Source organism: Homo sapiens, chromosome 22, assembly GCF_000001405.40.
Source record: "Homo sapiens chromosome 22, GRCh38.p14 Primary Assembly".
NCBI lineage: Eukaryota > Metazoa > Chordata > Mammalia > Primates > Hominidae > Homo > Homo sapiens.
In genome coordinates this window covers 36186233-36206856 of record NC_000022.11, presented here as the reverse complement: position 1 = coordinate 36206856, position 20624 = coordinate 36186233, and the positions used below count along the sequence as shown (strand labels likewise).

Sequence of the window (20624 nt, the reverse complement as noted above, 5' to 3'; positions counted from 1 at the left end):
AGGTGGAATACTTTGTGTTACAGAATTCAGACCAACCCCGTGACTGGAGATTCTTTTGCTTCTACACTGTTTTCTCCAAAAGATATTGAAAAACAAAGAGAAAATGTGAAAGGAAAATCAAATCTCAGGGCCCCAAATTCACTATACCAGTGGAACCAGTTAAGCCTGGAAACAGAGTCACTCCAGAACCTGCCTTTGTTTTTGTTTCTAAACAGATATTTGCAAAGATGGAAGGCAACATATACCCCAGTTGGCCTGCCTCACAAATTCCTCACAAAGAAAATCCTTGTAGGTCCCCAAATTTTCACCCTGAGACAGACTTTGTATAATTTCACTGTGACAATGCAAACTGGCAACTTATCTTGACTGGTACCTAACAATGACAAGAGTGGAAGTGACCCTTCTGCCCACACTCAGACAAATGCACATATGCCTACTTCCTCTACTTTCTGTTTATTTTTATCTTATAGAAAATGTAGATTAACTGTGCACAAGAAGAATGAATAATGGACTGTTCCTCTAACCCCCTTTCACATGGAACCTATGGATTCAGGGAGGGCCGATCAAAGCCTCACAAAAATGTGACCACTCAGCTCATTACCTATCCTGTCTTTTTTCCTTCCCTCCTTCCACGCCTGCCTGATTTTACACATTTAAATGTTGAAGCCCTCAAAACCCTCTGGGAATAATGAGTGGGCCCCAGATCTTCCTGTGACTTGCGTGTCTTTTTCCTGGGTGCATCCTCAACCTTGGCAGAGTAAACCTCTAAACTGACTGAGACGTGTCCCAGACCCTCTTTGGTTGACAAGTCTTGGCTCCTCCCTGAGTTGCTGGATGAAAGCAACTTCCTCGCCCCTTGCCTCAGTTTCCTCATTTGAAAACTTAGATCATAATCCTGGCCCATTGAGGGGATGATTATAAAATTCAATCAAATGGAGAAGCATTTGCAAATGGAATGTATTGCAAAGTGTATTGTGCAGTCCCTGTGTAATCACCTTTCTGTTCCTGTCTCAAAAGCTGGTGTGTGTGCGTATGGGTGGGGGGAGGTGGCCACGATGCCCCCAGCGATGTTTGCTCAGGATGAAATAGGCCCCCATGGAAGGGTCAGGTTGGCTTCTGAGGTTCAGCTGTCTTTGAGGCCCTTCTGCCTGGGGCAAAGCACAAAAGTCCAATAGCAATCTGGTTGCATGACTTCTTAGCCATAGAAGTGTGGCTGAGCAGTGGTCTCTAGTCCCTCCACCCTGTGTGCCTCGGGAGTGGAACACGGGGCAGTGGCCTCTGCTTGGGAGGATGCTGGGGGATCTCTGACAGGAGGCAATGCCTGATTTTGTCACTGAACGATGAGCATGATTTTTCCAGGTGGTGGAAGCAGGGGATCCCGGCAGAAGACCCCACATAAGCAAATATCTAGAAGCCACAAGCCATGGCCTTCAACAAGAGCAGGCCTGGTGCGGTGGCTCATGCCAAGGTGGGAGGATCACTTGAGGCCTGGAGTTCAAGAGTAGCCCAGTCAATATAGTGAGACACCATCTCTAATATAACTTTTTTAAAAATTAGCTGGGTGGTTGGCTGATGCCTGTAGAAACAGCTACTCAGGAGGCTCAGGTGGGAGGATGGCTTGAGCCCAGGGGTTTGAAACTGCAGTGCACTATGACTGTGGCGGTGCACTTCAGCCTTGGCTACAGAGTGAGACCCTGTCTCCAGAACAAAACCAAAATAACCCCAATGGCCTTACAATAAATATACAATAAGGATCCACTTGGCATGTGTAGGAGACTGTGCAAATGCTGATGGTATGGGCAGGAGTAAGGCAGGCATCAGGGGAATGTGGAAGCACGGGAGGACGGGGAGTAATCTGAAGGGTCCCACAGTATGTCAGTGGCAGGTCTTTCTTCCTGAAGACTATAGCAGACCCCCAACCCCGAGGATGCCAGGCAGGTGGGTTGGATGAAAGAGACCTGGAGGTCTGGTCTCAGGCTGCTCCTCTAAGCGCAGCAGCAAGGAGGGTGGGGCTGGACTGCAGGAGGTGCTGGGGAGCAGCGTGTTTGCTGTGCTTGATTGTGAGCTGCTGGGAAGTTGTGACTTTCATTTTACCTTTCGAATTCCTGGGTATATCTTGGGGGCTGGAGGACGTGTCTGGTTATTATATAGGTGCACAGCTGGAGGTGAGATCCACACAGCTCAGACCAGCTGGATCTTGCTCAGTCTCTGTCAGAGGAAGATCCCTTGGTAAGTTGGGGATGGTGTGACCTCCCTCCATCTCCTTATTCTCGCAATAGCTCTATGAGGGAAGGATCATTCAGCTTTTGTAGATAAGCTCGGAGAGGTTAGGTAACTCGTTCAGATCAGACAGGAAAGCAGTGGTAGAGCCGGGATTTGCACCCAGGCTTGAGTCTGATTGCTCCCTCCCTCCTGCTGGGCCCTTAAACCGTAGAGAGAGGTGGGGAAATAGCTCAGATGGGTTCACAAAGCTCTCTGGGCTCAGCTCTGTTTTAGACTGCTGAGACATGGCCAGGTGACCCCAGAAGGAAGGTTTGTGTTGGGGGTGCCCATCTCTTTGGGAAATTTGAAGGAATCAAAGAAGGTGGAGGTGGGGAGGTGACCTGGAGCCCGGTCTGTCCTTATGGTCTGGCCACAACCAGGCTGGCCCCGGGGTGCGGCTGCTGAGGCCTGATGAGGCAAGAGATTTCTTTTGAGATACAAGGAACCTAGAGGTCATCTCACCCACCCTGAGTCTGAGCACCTACTTGTGCCAGGCCCTGTGGGGAAACTGAGGCCCTGGGAGGGGAGTGACTTGCCCAGGGTCCAGTGTCAGGAGGCTGAGCAGGTAGATCATAGGACTCCATGTCTGTGGCCCTCACCTCTGTCCCTCTGTTCAGACCTCTGGGGTGATGGAGAAGAAACAGGCTGTGCTGTGTCCCTAATGGGAAACTGTAGGGAGACCCCCTGAAACTATTGCTACGGAATAAAAGATGAAATGCTCCTGATTATTGTAAATACAAAATTGCATGCAGGATTGTGTAAAGACAATGCCAGGTTGGACTGCCAGAACGAACCAACAGCACGTGATGTGCTTCCCCCTGCAGAGAGCCTATGAATGGATGCAGGGGGGCGCCTGTCCATATGGACAAGCTAGGGCTATAAATGCTATCATCTTGCCGTGGCTCTTCTAGGCATCTTTAGGGTTCAGGTATACTCCCTTCTGAGAATTTCTAGTCTAACCGGTTATCTAGCTTCACGTCCTGTTTCCATGGATTGTCAGTAACCAGCTTTTGTTGCAATTGTTACTGCTGATTAATATCTTGCTAATCATAGGTTATGGAAAGATTGTGTTTCTGTTTTAAGGCTCTGTTAGAAATTACTGACGCACACACTATATTGTAAATTCTTATCTCTGTATACTGTACTTCTACATACAAATGCACTGTACTTCTACATACGAATGTTATGTTAAAGAATTACTTCATCCCCATGTGACCATCCCACCTCGTAATCAAATGACCCTAAATCCCTCACTAACCTACCCCCGCCCTCACTAAACTGAATAATAAATGCTGGTATATCCAGTGCATTGTTGACCAGAAGGCGGTGACCCCCCTGGACCCAGCTTTCACTATCTTGTGTGTGTCTATTATTTCTCAACCTGCCGATCCGCCTAGGAGCAAAGAGAGAGCCCCGTTGCACTGGGGGCTGCTGGCCAGATCCCGCAATAGGAAACATGGCTGAGACAGGGGAGTGAGAAGGTCGCATTGCAGAATGGTGCCTGTGGCATGACGCCAGCTTTGTAATCATGAGATTCAAAAGCCACCTGTGGAATTGTGAGTGTAACTACAGGAGTGAGAGCTTAGATCTCTGTGTTTGTAGAAGCAGAATCAAACCTGGACACTGTTGGATTACTAAAATCACCCGTTTTTCTTCAATAGCAGAGTCACAAGGGCAGATGTTGGCTTCCCGTCTGCTCTCCAAGAGCTGTGCGACTCTGGGCAAGTCACCTCCCCTCCCAGCCTAAGATTTTCCCCTCTCAGAAACCTGATAGAGCTGCCAAAAGTCCATGAAATCAGGGGGGTAATTTCTGTGAAATCTGAGTCGTGGTCTTATTTTTCTTTTTCTTTTTTTTTTTTTCTTTTTTCTGAGATGGAGTCTCGCTCTGTTGCCCAGGCTGGAGTGCAGTGGCGCAATCTCTGCTCACTGCAAGCTCCGCCTCCCGGGTTCACACCATTCTCCTGCCTCAGCCTCCCGAGTAGCTGGGACTACAGGCGCCCGCCACTACACTCGGCTAATTTTTGTATTTTTAGTAGAGATGGGGTTTCACCATGTTAGCCAGGATGGTCTCCATCTCCTGACCTTGTGATCTGCCTGCCTCGGCCTCCCAAAGTGCTGGGATTACAGGCGTGAGCCACCGCTCCCGGCCTGATTTTTCTTCACCAAAAAGAGATGCCCATCAAGATAGAAAGCACTATAGCTGAAGCCTGTAATCCCAGTGCTGTGGGAGGCAGAGGCGGGAAGATCACTTGAGGCCAGGAGTTCAAGACAGCCTGAGAAACACAGGAGATGCTGTCTCTATGAAATCAAAAATTAACAAATTAGCCCAGCATGGTAGCGTGCACCTGTAGTCCCAGCTACTCAGAAGGTTGAAGGAGGAAGATCACTTGAGCCCAGCAGATCTAGGCAGCAATGAGCTAGGATGGCGTCAAAGCCCTGCAGCCTGGGTGACACAGCAAAACGGTTTATTAAAAATGAAATGAAAATGGTGATTTCTCAGGAGGAGCACACTGTCTCAACCCCTCTTTTCCTGCCCAAGGAGGAGGCCCCGCAGCGACATGGAGGGAGCTGCTTTGCTGAAAATCTTTGTCGTCTGCATCTGGTGAGCTTGGCTCAGAGCCCTGAGGTGGGAGGGAGGGCTCCCTGTCTGGGCTGCACAATTGGGCAGGGCTTGGGCTGGGCCAGGAGCCATGTGGGTTTTTCTAGGAACCAAAATCACTTCCCGGAATTGACCAACTGGTAGACTCGCCTAGAGGGGACGCACTGTGTCCTAGTTGAGGCTAACAGTCAGTATCCAGCCTCAACATTCAGCAGAGGCCCCAGATCAGCGTCTGAGCCAGGCCAACAATGACCAAGGAGGATGGGATCCTGGGTGCAGCTCATCACAAGCGTCGGGTGAGTCCGAGGCCCCAGCTCTCTGCCCTCCTGCTCCTCTGCTCTCTCCTGGTCCTCCCAGTTCTACTGGCTCATGGTGTTGAGATGGTTGCCTTGGCCTAGGGGGTCACACAGTGAACAAAGCAGGAAGAAGGCGAAGGGATGCCCCTCTCCTGTCACCCCTGTCCCTTACAGCAAGAAGCGCCCAGACGCCCCTCTGCATACTCCCCTGGTGAATGCTGCCCAGGACTGGGTCCCCCTTTTACCCTTGTTGCATGGGGGCCCCAGAAGACAGACATCTGTGTGTCTGAACCCTGAGACAAAGGCAGGAAAGGGAAAGAGGGAGGCGAGTGGCTTTTGAGGAGGGGGCTTTAGTATGAGAGCTGGAGGATGGAACCCCATCAGGGGGCCCGGGAACCACTGAGCTGTTAAAATAAAGTCTGCAAACAAAGACCAGCTGCTGGAAGTGGGTGTGCCAGGGAGTGCGCAGAGACACACGGTGAGAAAAGAACAATGGTAATGCTTGGAGCCGCCCCTAACTGGGATGGGCCTGAAATGGTATTGTTATTATTTATAGTATCATTATTAGTCATTTTCATCTTATTTGTACCCTCCCTCTATCTCTCCTCTCCACCTTTTCCTAACATTCTATCACCAGTTTTATGTCTTCCATTAGCAACTTTGTAGCTGTAAACAATTTACTTACAACTTTCTTATACCCTCAGTTGTACCCAGTATTTCTTAACTTCCATCTTTAAAAAATGACAATATTAATCCTCCTTCTCCTTTGTTCAGTGCTTCACATCTCAACTGCTACCTTCGTGCCTTAAAGTTTGTACTAATTGGTATTGATAACAAGATATTTAGTTCTCAAATTTACATGTTGTGTATATATTTTTTGTCCTGATAAAGAGACTACTGAGAGCCAGTAAGACTGAAAGAATGGGCATCTTCATATACTGCTAGTTTGAGTGTGAATTGGTACAATTTGCATGTAGTGTGGCTCTAGGTATAAAACATTTTGAGATGTTGATACCCTCTGACCTAGTCATTCTACTCCTACAAATATCTTAAGGAAATAAAATCAAATGTGGGCAGTTTTACGTGAAGGAGGGTGTTCTTTGTAGCATAATTTACATGAAGAATTAGAAACACCCTAAGGTCCATCAGCTAGGGGAGGACAGCAGAGGGAACAGGGCAGCGCCAGGAGGGCTCGGCAGCCACAGCAGGGGCTAGGCCGGCATCTGGCAGGATCCAGGTCTTTGTGGGACAAAGGATCTTAGAGAAGCAAGGGGGACACAGGCTGTCCACTGCAGCACCAGTGAATTCACCAAGACGAAAAGTTGAGCACGGAGTGTGAGACATGGATTTGCAATGAGGAGTCATTTACCATGAGCGTGTATACATGACTCAATATTGTATATTTAAGGGAGTAGAGCACAGTCATTGAAGACATGAGGTTGAAGCAGAAGTCCTGGCTCTAGCAATAGAAAACACTGGCAAGTTCCCTAACTTTTGTGGATTCCTCTGTGTTCAAATGGGAAAGTGGTACCCATCTCCCGGGCTGTGTGTGATCATTGAATGAGACACATGTCAGAAGCCCTGCACATCACAGGCCCGGCGCGACCGCTCACGCCTGTAATCCCAGCACTTTGGGAGGCCGAGACGGGCTGATCATGAGGTCAGGAGATCGAGACCATCCTGGCTAACACGGTGAAACCCCTTCTCTACTGAAAATACAAAAAATTAGCCGAATGTGGCGACGGGCACCTGTAGTCCCAGCTACTCGAGAGGCTGAGGCAAGAGAATGGCGTGAACCTGGGAGGCGGCGCTTGCAGTGAGCCGAGATCGCGCCACTGCACTCCACCTGGACGACAGAGCGAGACTCCGTCTCAAAAAATATAAATAAATAAAAATAAAAATAAAAAAAGAAGCCCTGCACATCACAGACACTCAATACAGACTGGCTATCATCAATTAGTTGTCACACATGTTTCCGGTCATTGTTAGAACGTTCCTTCCCATCTCTATTTCTGCGTATAGACTGTGTAGTTTCTGTAATGATCAGATGGCTGCCCCTCCTCTGATTATCTTCTCCTCATTCTCCAACAGGACAAGCGGACTTTTCCTTGGTGTGAGAGTGAGGGAAGAGGGAGCTGGAATGAGTTGAGTGTCTGTAAATAGCAGATGATGGGGACTTGGTGATAGAGAAAGAATCTGGGTTAGGTTGGTCTTGGCATTTGCTGCCACCTCAGAGGGATCTGCAGAGGCCCAGCTGTTCAAGCCTCCCTTTGCCCATAGGTGGCTCACATTCAATCCCACAATTTGTTTTCTCTTCCTCAAGGGTGCAGCAAAACCATCCAGGCTGGACAGTGGCTGGACAGTTCCAAGGTAAGCCTTTCAGAGACCTGGCTGCTGGTAGGCTCGCCTCCTCTTCCCTGGCTGGTTCCTACCCACAGCTAGAATGGAGGGTGGTGTCTTCAAGGCTGAGTGAGCCCCAACGGAACCCAGACGGAGGTGGCTGATGAGGCTGCCCCAAGCCCCAAGAGAGGCCACGTGGAGTCCCCTGACCCAGGGTTCTGGGGGGCATCTGCATCCTGACCTCTCCTCAGCGGGTCATGGCCCAGGTGCCCACTTCCTCCCTACCCTGACACCTAGCAAATGACTTAAGTGGGGCAGGACAGCCTTGGGGAAATGGAAACAGCAGGGTTGGCTTTTGAGGGTTGGCCAGGAGTAGCGGAGGGGTGGGAGAGGAGGTTGACCAGCAGCCCTGACCTCTCACCTCCCTCTCTGCTCCTGGCTGACCCTGGGGTGTTTCCAGCAGAGGCCGGTCCCCTCCCTCCAGCTCTTGCCCTGCACCAGCCCCTCTGCTCTGAGTGGCCCTGTGGGTAGAGTGACCCAGCTTCCCACTGAACTGGACCCCATTCTGGTCTTGGCCATGTCCCCTCTGTGTGACCTGGAGCTCCTTACTCCTCCTCACCTGCACCACTAGGATATTTGCCCATGTTGTCATGAGGATCAAACATTACATGGGTACCTGGGCCAGCCAGTGCCTGCCACACAGTACGGCCTCCCTAAGGGGTGGTTCCCATCCCCTCTACCTGACCCCTGTTGATTGTAAGTGGAAGCCACCCCCTTCCCGAGCTGTGTTAGGGCACCCACCCTGCACTGCCTGTCACAAGCACCTCTTTATCTGGGCTGAGTCCAATCATCGAAAGTACCCCTTGTCAAAGAAACATCTGAGGCACAACAACATTTATCTGAATAAGAAGGAGTTCATAAATAGAGAAAACCAAACTGGAGGAGGTTTTGTGTTATGATGAAAAACTGTGGAAGACAAGTGTTTATCGGGTGAATATGGAAGTGCAATTAGGACATTATTTGATTAGTTCCAGTGATAAAACTGCCTGTTTTGCTTTACCTTGTTGGAAAATTCCTGGTCATGTTGATGCCGGTGGGTTTAGGGAGGTCTCTGAATGCAGGTGAGACCGGACCTTAGCCTTGTCCAGGATTCTGACAACGAAGAGAGAAAGAATTTGAGGCAAAGCCAAAGCAAATTAGCTTTTATTGCAAAGCAGAAGCGCAGGCTCAGGGGTGGGAGTGCAGGCGGACTCAGAAGAGCCAGTCGGGCCCAGTGGGGTTTGGGGTTTCTGACTTTGTGGGTTTACTAAGTTAAGGGGCAGAGTAAGCATAAGGATTTATGGGAAGAGGCGGGGATTTCTTGGAACTGGGGGGCCACGCAGTTTTGTTGCAAGCATGGAACTTCTGTGGCACAGGTGGGTGTGGGACAAGGAGGGTATGATTGAGTCTGGGGTGAAAGGTGGGTCAGACCCAGTGCTGAGTTAGATCTTACTGGTCTTAGCCAGATTGGCCACTTCCTGTTTGTCAGGGTCCTCTGGGCCCATCCCCTCCCCCTGTCCCTACAGCTGGTTACAGCAGCTCCTTCTGTGTCCATTATGTGAACCTGCTGCCTGGAGTTCTTGTTCTTTCTGTGACCTCCCAGTATCCACATCTCAGCATGGCCCTCTGTCAGCTGGCTGCTCATGACTGGCCGAGGTTAAGCTGTGTTTGTGTCTGACAGAAGCGCCCATCTGATATGACCCCAGTTCAGATTCATAGCTTGCAGTTTCATGGGGGGTTACAGCTGTTCTGAAGGTCTGGTTGGTTTTGTTTGCCCGGGAATGTTTCAGGTCTGGTTTTTATTTTAATTTTGCTTTAATATTCACCATCCCCACCCCATCAATAAAACACAAATTTAGTGCTGGAGGTTCCCTCCATCCAACCCTGAGTTTCCTTCCTCCTTTTGGTGAAGAAGGAAAAAGAAAAAACAAGACAATCCCTCGCCCAGCCAAGTCAGCACTGCGTTCATTTCCCTAAGCCCCATTTCCTCAGGAGGGCTTCCTCCCCTTACAGAGTTGCCATGGCAACCAAGTCAGCTCTGCTCAGGGGCCGCCCTGGACAGCAAACTGGGCTGTGCTGAGTCCTGTCCAAGATGAGGGGAGGGCAGGGAAGATTAGAAGCTGAGAGCTCTCAGCCAATCCCAGAATCCTTAGGAAGGGCTGGGCTGGGCGGCCAAGGAAGAAGCTCTCCCTCTGAAACAAGATGATCTGTGGTTTACTAACGGGGCCAGCTGGGTTCAGAGGTGCCAGTGGGGAGCCGTGTACCCTGAGACCAGCCTGCAGGGGACAGAGGCAACACGGAGGGGCCACAAGGATCAGTGCTGAGGGTCCCACTCCCCTGCCCACCTAAAGAACCCCCTCCACTGCCCATCTGAGAGAGCCCATGACCAGCAGGAGGAATCCTCTGTGCAAATAAAATGTTTAAAACCCCACAGGTATACTACAGGGGAGAATGCAGAAACCACAGGCATTTTTTAAATATATGGAGTCTTCAAAGTAATGGCAAGGGAACGCTGGCCTTGAGTCAAATCCTGAGCTTCCTGCTTGCTGGGTTGGGTGGTGTCTCTCGCTGTCTGGGTCTCAATTTCTCCTTCTGTGAAATGAGAATGAGGCCTCGCACGTATGAGCACAGCAGGAAACAATTATACATCATGTCCCAGTGCATACATAAATACAAACTGGTTCCCAGCCCCTTCTCTGGAGTTCCATAATTCCCAAATCCCTGCAAACCACACATTTTTGGGGCAACTCATCTGGGCAGTAATCCTGCTGTGTACTAAGATGCTTTGTAGTGATAATATTATGTATGCCACTTAAGGTGAATATTCATTGGTTTCCTGGTTGAAACATTTGTACCTTTGATTACAAGGTGGGGCCCAGTCCCTGCTGGGAGTGGTCAGTGATAAACCATATGCACCCTCTGTCCCTTCTAGAAGATTGAAAATGCTGCCATCCTAAACACATCTAGATCCCAGGAATTTACATAAGGGTCTATAGGTATATTTCAAGTATCTTACAAAAGAATACTCACTCTTGCTATGTTCAATATACTCTGATATTTTCAATGCTCTTTTCTTTTTAAAATGCTGCTCTTGACACAATGAACTATTGTCATAACCCACTGATGGGTCAAAATTCAGATTTTGAAGACACTGGTGTAAAGTGTTTGACAATAGGCACATGGCAGGAGGAAGCGATCACTGGAATATTTCCCGTACATGGGGAGAAAACATGGTGGAAAGCTCACTTTCTGGTGATTCTCAGCTGAAATAGATTGGTTCCTCCACAAAGCATCGTGGCACTTCCCTGGTGAATCACTCTTCTCAGGATGCCTTAGTAAAATGCCACAAGCTGGGTGGCTTCAACAACTGACGTATTTTCTCACAGTTCTAGAGGCAAGAAGTCCAAGGTGAAGGTGCCAGCAGGGTTGATGTCTGGGGAGGGCTCTGCTCCTGGCTTACAGAGGCTGCCTCAGGGCTGTGTCCTCACATGGCCTTCACAGTGGTGTGTGTGTGTGTGTGTGTGTGTGTGTGTGTGTGTGTGTGAGAGAGAGAGAGAGAGAGAGAGAGAGAGAGAGATCATCTGTCTCTTTTTTTTCTTTTAATTGGACACCAGTCCTATAGGAGTAGGTCCCTACTCTTATGACTCCCTTTAAATTAATGACTTCCTTAAAGGCTCAATCTCCAAATACGGTCACTGGGGTTTAGAGCCTCAGTATTTGAATTTGGGGGGCACACAATTCAGTCTATAGCACTGGTGCCTCCATCAAAAATACCCCATGTGACAGCTGGTTCAGGAGGATTAACACCGAACCACCTTATACTCAATGCCATTTATGTGGTAGCAAACTTTCTTCCAATCTTATCCTTTTTGTTTCCAACTAGAAAAGAAACGCTTCACTGAAGAAGTCATTGAATACTTCCAGAAGAAAGTTAGCCCAGTGCATCTGAAAATCCTGCTGACTAGCGATGAAGCCTGGAAGAGATTTGTGCGTGTGGCTGAATTGCCCAGGTAACCTCCATGGGGTTACCTCCTTGGGGCACCCCGGTGATGCCACCCAGATCTCCCCGGGCTAGTTTTCTCTGGCAGGCACACCTCCTCCAGGCAGCCCCCTCTGCTGGGCTTGAGGATGTCCCTCTCAGCAGTGCAGGAAGAATATTTCCTCCAAGTGCTTCGCTGGCAGTGAGTGACCTCAGGCTGAGGGGAGAAGAAGCCCACAAGGGCAGGGTCAGTTCTGCCATCTACTGGTGATGGGAGCTTTGCAAGCTACTTGACTACTTTCTGCTTTCCTTTCTTCATCCATTGAGCTTTATTGTGAGAAAAATAAGATAATGCATGTAAAGTATTTAGCATAATGACTGACACACAGTAGGTGCTCAGTTAGCGTTACCTTTTACAAAACTTGCTGGCAAGAGACCAGGGCCAAAAGTCTTTTTCTTAGAGATGGAAGCCCAGCAGGACTTTCTTTGGGAAAAGTCAGAAAAATCTTGACCTGATCAATGTGTGTTCCCGGAGATGCTGTCTGGGGCCCTTTTCCTGAACTTCTGAGGAACTGCACAAACACAGCAGAATCCTTCTGCTGACCCAGGACACAGAGAGGCTGGAATGGAGTTGGACAGAGCTGGGGTGGATCCTGGCTCTGTCCCTGCACAGCTCTGGGGCTGTTGGTTTATGTCTTGGAGACTGGGACCTGCCGTCTGTCCAATGCTATTAGTAATTCAATCAGATGGGAGTGTGGTGAAGGCCTTAGAATGAACTCCAGGTCAAAGGTGGGGAACCAAATAGCATGATGCCGCCCAAAGACCCAGAGAGACATTGCCAGGGGCAGAGCCAGGGGTCAGGATGGGGCAGGGGTGGACCTAGATTGGAGGAGCAGCAGGAAGGCTGGAGCATCAAGGCTGGGAGGAGGGTGAGAGAAGGGAGACACTGAGAGCATGAAATGTAACATGGTCATGGACTTGCAGAAGACCCGTGAGTAGGAGAGGGATATTTCTTCCCTCCCTGATTTGATCCCATCACTGATGGGCATAGTGGGCCATGGGTGACTGTTTCCCCGACACCATGCCTGGGAAATGGGGAGTTCTGGGCTGCCATTTGAAACCTTCTTCTGTTCTACATAGAGTAGAGGCAATGTTTCTTCAGGCCAACTTCCAGAGTGGGGACGAGTGGCTTCAACTGGTGTAATTTGAAGGGTTCTCGGAAGACTCACAAGTCCCCAACCAAAGAGAAAAACACTTTCTCTACCATCTTGTCCAAATGCAGGTCTTTTCAGCATTAGTGATTTATAGAGATGATTTTCAAAGTCCTCATGAGTCCTCAAGAGCTTCCATGAAATTGTACAGGGCCTTGACCTGTATACACATGAAGCTGTCACCTGCTAAGGCATTAGTTTGGCTGGTGACATGTGAGAGTGAGACCCTGAAGTTTGGAGGTGCCAGGTCAGGAGGCAGTAAGGTGGCTTGAGAGTTTGTGTGCAGCCAGGACTAATAGCCAGGTCTTCCACTTTTCAGTCATAGGTGGCAGTGGCTGGACCCAGTGGCCTTTAGTCAGAACGTCAAAGGGCATGAGGCATTGGAAGAGAGAACATGCCAGGCAAATTGACACCTTCTAGTCTGAGGTTGTGTTTGAATTCTTAAGGACTCAGATTTAGGTGAACTGCAACGTTCGAGTGCACCCTTACTTCTGACACCAGTTGCAAACTTGAGGGGCTTTCTTAAGCCCCCCTCAGGTTGGATAATTCACTACAAGGACTCACGTAACTCACTGATAACTGTTATTGCACGATTGTGGTTTATCACAGGGAAAGAACACAGATTAAGGAAGAGACATACAGGGCAGAGTCTGAGAGGGTTTCAGTTGTGAAGCTTCATTGTCCTCAGGAGGCTGTGTTCTCCTGTGTCAATGTGGAACAAAACACATGGGGTGTTGCCAACCAGGGAAGCTCACCCAGTTAAGGAAAAATTCCTATGAATCACATTAAATCAGGAAGGAAGCCTTTATTCAGGATTGTTGTTACAGGGGAGGGAGACTGAGCCCAGCTCCCAATACAGTAAAGTCAGAGGGGGAGTCACAGCCAACACCAGGGTAAGGGGCGGCAGATGGAACAGGACTGACAGGAGACACCAGAGTGGGGGGTTCCTGCTAAACTGGCCTAACAGGATGCTCCCTAAAGGCAGGTCAGACAGTCGCTTATCAAATGAATGGGTGAAGACCGTGATCAGAGAGCAAGTGTGCTCAGACAGCAAGCTGGGGGGATCCTCTCTAAATTGACTTTGGGGGATTCTTGCTGAGCTGGGGCGGTGCAGGCCCAGCAAGCACGGGATGGGCATGGAAGGCCAAGGTCAATGTCTAGAGGAGAAGAGGCTCAGAACCGCCCAACTGAAGTTTGGCCAAGGAGTAAGTCTTTCTTAACTCATGACAATGCAGAGCTCTTCCTGGGGCTGGATCACAAGCTGCCGTCATGGCAGACATGGAGTCTCCAGCCCTTCCCCAAGGTCTAACCCCTTTAGTCCTCAGTTCCTCTGGAAGGCAGATGAGACACCTAATAGCCCTAAACGCCCATCACCCATCACATTGCTATACTGGCCTGTAGCCAAACCACCAGGGAAACAAAGACGTTCCTACCAGGCAGGACATTCCAGGGCCCCAGAGATCCCTTTCCAGGGGCCGAGGACAAAGGGATATGCTCTCTTCTAATAAAGTTAATTCATCACTGTTCTATGATCCTCTGAATGAAGGTCTTTTTGCTCTGAACCCACTTCTCTTTGTTTTTCTACAAAGTTTCCCCTCTCCACACACCCTGGTAGTGATGGCATTGACCTCCCTTGCATGAGGAGCCATCTTTATCAAACACATAGCCACTAAAGAGCATCGGAAGATGACTTTAACTTATTTTTTCCCATACTGAATAAGTACTGTGGCATATCTATGTTGTACAAAACATATTTAACCTTGAGTAGAATTATTATTATTATTTTTTTTTGAGATGGAGTCTCGCTCTGTCGCCCAGGCTGGAGTGCAGTGGCGCGATCTCGGCTCACTGCAAGCTCCACCTCCTGGATTCATGCCATTCTCCTGCCTCAGCCTCCCAAGTAGCTGGGACTACAGGCACTCACCACCACGCCTGGCTAATTTTTTGTATTTTTAGTAGAGACGGGGTTTCACCGTGTTAGCTAGGATGGTCTCGATCTCCTGACCTTGTGATCCACCCATCTCGGCCTCCCAAAGTGCTGGGATTACAAGCATGAGCCACCGCGCCCGGCCTTGAAAAGAATTATTTATCTTTTAGAACTTTACTTCCATTTGACTTATAGAAACAGCTCTGTGATTTATGCAGAATAGATCTTATTGAGCTCATTTTACAGGTAAGTAAGCTGCCTTTCTTAATCATCTGTCCTTTATTGGTACAGGGAAGAGGCAGATGCTCTCTATGAAGCTCTGAAGAATCTTACACCATATGTGGCTATTGAGGACAAAGACATGCAGCAAAAAGAACAGCAGTTTAGGGAGTGGTTTTTGAAAGAGTTTCCTCAAATCAGATGGAAGATTCAGGAGTCCATAGAAAGGCTTCGTGTCATTGCAAATGAGATTGAAAAGGTCCACAGAGGCTGCGTCATCGCCAATGTGGTGTCTGGCTCCACTGGCATCCTGTCTGTCATTGGCGTTATGTTGGCACCATTTACAGCAGGGCTGAGCCTGAGCATTACTGCAGCTGGGGTAGGGCTGGGAATAGCATCTGCCACGGCTGGGATCGCCTCCAGCATCGTGGAGAACACATACACAAGGTCAGCAGAACTCACAGCCAGCAGGCTGACTGCAACCAGCACTGACCAATTGGAGGCATTAAGGGACATTCTGCGTGACATCACACCCAATGTGCTTTCTTTTGCACTTGATTTTGACGAAGCCACAAAAATGATTGCGAATGATGTCCATACACTCAGGAGATCTAAAGCCACTGTTGGACGCCCTTTGATTGCTTGGCGATATGTACCTATAAATGTTGTTGAGACACTGAGAACACGTGGGGCCCCCACCCGGATAGTGAGAAAAGTAGCCCGGAACCTGGGCAAGGCCACTTCAGGTGTCCTTGTTGTGCTGGATGTAGTCAACCTTGTGCAAGACTCACTGGACTTGCACAAGGGGGCAAAATCCGAGTCTGCTGAGTCGCTGAGGCAGTGGGCTCAGGAGCTGGAGGAGAATCTCAATGAGCTCACCCATATCCATCAGAGTCTAAAAGCAGGCTAGGCCCAATTGTTGCGGGAAGTCAGGGACCCCAAACGGAGGGACTGGCTGAAGCCATGGCAGAAGAACGTGGATTGTGAAGATTTCATGGACATTTATTAGTTCCCCAAATTAATACTTTTATAATTTCCTATGCCTGTCTTTACCGCAATCTCTAAACACAAATTGTGAAGATTTCATGGACACTGATCACTTCCCCAATCAATACCCTTGTGATTTCTTATGCCTGTCTTTACTTTAATCTCCTAATCCTGTCAGCTGAGGAGGATGTATGTCACCTCAGGACCATGTGATAATTGCGTTAACTGCACAAATTGTAGAGCATGTGTGTTTGAACAATATGAAATCTGGGCACCTTGAAAAAAGAACAGGATAACAGCAATTGTTCAGGGAATAAGAGAGATAACCTTAAACTCTGACCAACAGTGAGCCTGGTGGAACAGAGTCATATTTCTCTTCTTTCAAAAGCAAATGGGAGAAATATCGCTGAATTCTTTTTCTCAGCAAGGAACATCCCTGAGAAAGAGAATGCACCCCTGAGGGTGGGTCTATAAATGGCCTCCTTGGGTGTGGCCATCTTCTATGGTCGAGACTGTAGGGATGAAATAAACCCCAGTCTCCCATAGCGCTCCCAGGCTTATTAGGAAGAGGAAATTCCCGCCTAATAAATTTTGGTCAGACCGGTTGCTCTCAAAACCCTGTCTCCTGATAAGATGTTATCAATGACAATGGTGCCCGAAACCTCATTAGCAATTTTAATTTCTCCCCGGTCCTGTGTTCCTGTGATCTCGCCCTGCCTCCACTTGCCTTGTGATATTCTATTACCTTGTGAAGTAGGTGATCTTTGTGACCCACACCCACACCCTATTCATACACTCCCTCCCCTTTTGAAAGTCCCTAATAAAAACTTGCTGGTTTTGCGGCTTGTGAGGCATCACGGAACCTACCGATGTGTGATGTCTCCCCTGGACACCTAGCTTTAAAATTTCTCTCTTTTGTACTCTGTGCCTTTATTTCTCAAACCGGCCAACACTTAGGGAAAATAGAAAAGAACCTACGTGACCATCGGGGCAGGTTCCCCGATACCCAATGACCCCAGAGCAGTGCAGCCACCAGGGAAGGTGAGCCAGACACAGGCCGGGACAAAACGCAGACATTTTTTAGGGGAATAAAGAGGGCGAGGTAAAGTTTATGGAACTCAGTGTTAGGAACTTTGGCATCTGTAGCTGAGCACAGCAGGGGAGGGGTTACTCAAGATGGCAAGTGCGCCAAGGAGAAGGCAGAAATGCTGGGGCCTGGAATAAGGGAGGAGAGGGGACTGGAGAGTGTGGGGAATGGAAAGAAGCAGTTTACTCTAGACTAAAGAGTATATTGGGGGAGGAAGAGAGGGAGGCACGTAGGAACAAGCAATGAGAAGACCAGGAAAAGAAAGAGCTGAAAATGGAGAAAGCCACAGTTAGAACTGTTGGATACAGGAGAAGAAACAGCGGCTCCACTAAAGACCCGCCCCCCGGTTGGATGTCCTTCCAAGAATGGAATCCTTCCCTGGTGATGGTCTCTCACCCTGTCTTACCAGCATCCACTCTCCCTTGTCCTCCCGGGGGTGTATCTGAGTCAGCCAGTGGCTTCTTGATGATGGTGGTGGTGGTTGTAGTGTGACAGGTCCCCTTTAGGTTATTTAAGGGTGCATGTCCCCTGCTTGAACCCTGAAGGCCGGGTAATGAGCCATTTCCATGGTGCCCAGCTGAGGACCAGGTGTCTCTGAGAATCCAAACATCCTGGAGAGTATCTGAGAACCAACCAAGTAAAAGTCTCGTTGCTCATATATAGTAGACAAAGAGCCAGAAAATTAACTGAAAAGCAGTTTAGACATTGGGGGAGGCTGGATCTCTCGAGCTGTCTTGCTGAGTGCCCTGTGTGTAAGTCCTAATAAACTTAGCTACTCGCCAAGCTGGACTTGTTTAAGTCATTCCTTGGTCTCATGGCTCCTTTCCCGCTTTGAGGGCAAGTTCCTGTCTCAAGTTTTTGTCCTAACAGTGGTAAAGGTGATTGTGGTGATGTCAGCAGACAGCAAGAGGACTTGACATGGGGTCGGCCCTGCTTGGGGCCAGCGTACACTGAGGGACCGATGACATTTCAATGAAACTCCAAATGCTATATTGGAAACGTTGATGTGTGAAGAAAAATAAAAGCAAAACCAGATGCCAGGAACAAGTCAAGGAATGTTGTGGTGCATTGAGGAGATGAACCAGCCTGCAGTCAAGAGACCCCATCTCTCTGAGCCTCAGTTTCCTCATCAGCTGGGAAAGGGGGGCTGGACAAGATGATATCTCACATCCACCTGGCCCTCTTCTCTTGTGTTCTAGAGACTTGTGTTCAAGCAACACTGACTGATGACTGAGCCTTTGTGTGTTGATATATGGGCTCCCCTAGGCTCTGGGTGCCTGACTTCTCTTCCTCATGATTCTTCTTCCAGGCTCTCAGGGAGCTAGGCCTCCATGGCCCCTTCTGCTTACTCTCCAGACTGCTCATTTCTCTGCGAACCCAGTGCCCAGTGGCCCCTGAAGCACTCAGGGAAAACTTGTAGACTTCTGGCTTGGCTCTAGTACAGGCGTGGTCCTGATCTAGCAGCCAGGGCCCAGGATTGACATGGGTCACATGAGGCTAAGATCAGAAGGGCCTGTATGTAGGTTGAAGGAAAATCCATGAGACATAGAGGGACAGAGAGAGACAGCCAGACAGCAAATACCCTCATCCAGTCTGCAAACACCCTCATCCAGTCAGCCTTCTCACTTCGCCCAGACTCCTGCAAAAGCTTCCAAAATGGTCTTCGCTGATACACAGCCCTTGCCGCTAGGCCAGCTCTTCCTCCACATTGGGCCAAGTTGACCCATAAAAACACAGATTTCATCAAACACCGGCTTCCATGTCTTCAATGGCTTCCTATTACTCTTAGCACAAAAGCCCAGAGCCTTCATGCTGTCTAATGTAGGCTGCTGTGGCCTGAGTTCCCCTGAAGGGAGAGCCCTAGGCAAGGCTCCCAGGCAGAGGATTTGTTTGGGAAGTGATTCTAGGAGCAGGACTGGGGTACTGGGAGGAGTGACACAGAGAAGGACAGAAGGCTGATGCCGGGAGAAATTCTTGATAGGGTCACCCATGTGGGCGACTGGAGACCTCCTGAGGAGTCTTCAAGGAGCGTCTTCAGAATGTTCCTCTACAGGGAGGAGAGAGGGAGGCCTGTAACCACTGCTCCTGTCCCCCATGGCCTTGCCCCAGTGGACATTAATTATCTGTATTTCCATGCATAGAATATAGAACTGCTGGGCGCCTCAGCTGGAGCCCAGAGCAGGGGCAAGAGATACAGAATGCACAAAATCACCCCAGAACCTCTCCTAAGTCACTCGTAAAGTGCACCCAGGGCCTACTTAGTCCTTTTTTATGTAGCATCCTGCAGAACACTTGCCTCAGTCCCTGTAACTCTCCATCAGCCAAGGCTTCCCTGACCTTCAGTTGATTCATCTATTTCTTCCTGAAGAAGTCAACAGAGCAACGGCCACCGACTTGCCTAACGCCAGAACATTGTGTTTCATTTGTCTGTCAATTGTTCATCAATTCCTGGATAATTCCCATTCTTTTCATACATTTCACTTAAGCTTTGAATGTTTCTGGCACTGAGTAATTTACTTCTTCAGTGATCCAGCCAGCATTTGCCCTGACACTTAGAGTTGAAATGCCATCAGGCTACCTGCATTTGATGCAATTCCACTGTACTGCTAGTATTGTTTAAAAATTTTTCAATTGCAAGCAACAGAAACAGAAACTATCTGTCTTAAACAAAATAGAAGATTCATTGGATGAAAACTAGAGCAGGTCAGAGGATGGAAGGAAGAACAAAATCTACAGAATTTGGAAGGACAGGAGCAGACCATTACCAACATCAGGAATATATGGTTTGCCCTTTCAGGGCTCTGCCTGCACCTGGCTTAGCTCCACACACTTTGATTCCTAGTGTCTCTGATTAAAGTTTCACATTCTCAAATGAGAGGATAGCTTGGGTCAGTGACTGTTCTTGAACCAATCAGTCAGGCTATGGTATCAGGAACAGCGATGAGTAACAGAGACACAAACCCTAATGGGAAGCCTCTGGCCAAACAGTCACCTGAATTTGTGCTTATTGTATATAGTCAACTGCTTGCTACCACACACACGTACCCTTCTTCTCATACAAACAAAAAGAACCCTTTTCGACTGGGCACAGTGGCTCACGCCTGTAATCCCAGCACTTCGCGTGGTTGCAGCGGGCGGATCATTTGAGTTCAGGAGTTCAAGACCAGCATGGCCAACATGATGAAACCCCGTCTCTACTAAAAATACAAAAATTAGCCAGGCATGGTGATACATGCCTGTAATCCCAGCTACTCAGGAGGCTGAAGCAGGAGAATTGCTTGAATCCGGGAGGCAGAGCTTGCAGCGAGCTGAGATCACGCCACTGCAGTCCAGCCTGGTGAAAGAGCGAAACTCCGTCTCGAAAAACAAACAAAAAACTCTCTTTACCTGTTATGAATCCAGCCATCCGAACGACAAAGACAAATGCACTTGCTTCTTCTCCAAAGAGAGCCACACACACCATCGCCCTCTTCTGCATGCTGAAGTTATGTCACAGGAGGAAGGCCTCGGCACACTGTCAATTTTTCTCTTGGTCCATTGGCAGCTCCTATCTCAGCATTTTCTGTGTGTATATTTGTAGGAAACAGAGAGGTGCGGTCAAGGCTACAACCACCACTGACCATTGCTGCCACCGTCACAAGTCTTTGACTGTTCCACTCAATGTTCCTCTTACTTATG

General features: G+C 48.9%; 1 protein-coding gene across 7 annotated transcripts, besides 5 other annotated features; it reads left to right on the top strand.

Moving 5' to 3' along the window:
- APOL4 (apolipoprotein L4) lies at positions 2024 to 17729 on the top strand. Of its 7 annotated transcripts, none has more exons than NM_030643.4 (6): positions 2024 to 2229; positions 4802 to 4864; positions 4969 to 5157; positions 7481 to 7527; positions 11420 to 11546; positions 14945 to 17729. In NM_030643.4, the coding sequence occupies exons 3-6, from the start codon at positions 5123 to 5125 to the stop codon at positions 15780 to 15782; spliced, it is 1047 nt and encodes a 348-aa protein (NP_085146.2). In that variant the 5' UTR covers positions 2024 to 2229; positions 4802 to 4864; positions 4969 to 5122; the 3' UTR covers positions 15783 to 17729. The 7 variants fall into 7 exon arrangements, with proteins under 7 accessions (NP_085146.2, NP_663693.1, XP_047297461.1 ...); NM_145661.2 differs by lacking the exons at positions 11420 to 11546; positions 14945 to 17729 and adding exons at positions 7249 to 7301; positions 9026 to 9402 and having other exon boundaries at positions 2051 to 2229; NM_145660.2 differs by lacking the exon at positions 4969 to 5157.
- Positions 4573 to 5072: an enhancer, noted in NCBI's record as "H3K4me1 hESC enhancer chr22:36597831-36598330 (GRCh37/hg19 assembly coordinates)". NCBI's record gives its function as "activates a minimal SCP1, AML or CMV promoter by ChIP-STARR-seq in primed H9 embryonic stem cells {active_cell/tissue: H9 hESC(primed)}" and the evidence as "EXISTENCE:reporter gene assay evidence [ECO:0000049][PMID:30033119]".
- Positions 9228 to 9746: an enhancer, noted in NCBI's record as "H3K27ac-H3K4me1 hESC enhancer chr22:36593157-36593675 (GRCh37/hg19 assembly coordinates)". NCBI's record gives its function as "activates a minimal SCP1, AML or CMV promoter by ChIP-STARR-seq in primed H9 embryonic stem cells {active_cell/tissue: H9 hESC(primed)}" and the evidence as "EXISTENCE:reporter gene assay evidence [ECO:0000049][PMID:30033119]".
- Positions 9228 to 9774: a biological region, named in NCBI's record as "Sharpr-MPRA regulatory region 479".
- Positions 9480 to 9774: a silencer, noted in NCBI's record as "tiled region #479; HepG2 Repressive non-DNase unmatched - State 23:Low, and K562 Repressive DNase unmatched - State 8:EnhW". NCBI's record gives its function as "represses a minimal TATA promoter and a strong SV40 promoter by Sharpr-MPRA in HepG2 and K562 cells {active_cell/tissue: HepG2 | K562}" and the evidence as "EXISTENCE:reporter gene assay evidence [ECO:0000049][PMID:27701403]".
- Positions 16255 to 16756: an enhancer, noted in NCBI's record as "NANOG hESC enhancer chr22:36586149-36586650 (GRCh37/hg19 assembly coordinates)". NCBI's record gives its function as "activates a minimal SCP1, AML or CMV promoter by ChIP-STARR-seq in primed H9 embryonic stem cells {active_cell/tissue: H9 hESC(primed)}" and the evidence as "EXISTENCE:reporter gene assay evidence [ECO:0000049][PMID:30033119]".

Bases quoted from the DNA above. Each gene is read 5' to 3' on its own strand.
- APOL4 (NM_145660.2), top strand. From the start codon at position 4,821: ATGGAGGGAGCTGCTTTGCTGAAAATCTTTGTCGTCTGCATCTG. The intron at 4,865-7,480 runs GTGAGCTTGGCT...CTCTTCCTCAAG, and splicing joins ATCTTTGTCGTCTGCATCTG to GGTGCAGCAAAACCATCCAG. The intron at 7,528-11,419 runs GTAAGCCTTTCA...GTTTCCAACTAG, and splicing joins AGTGGCTGGACAGTTCCAAG to AAAAGAAACGCTTCACTGAA.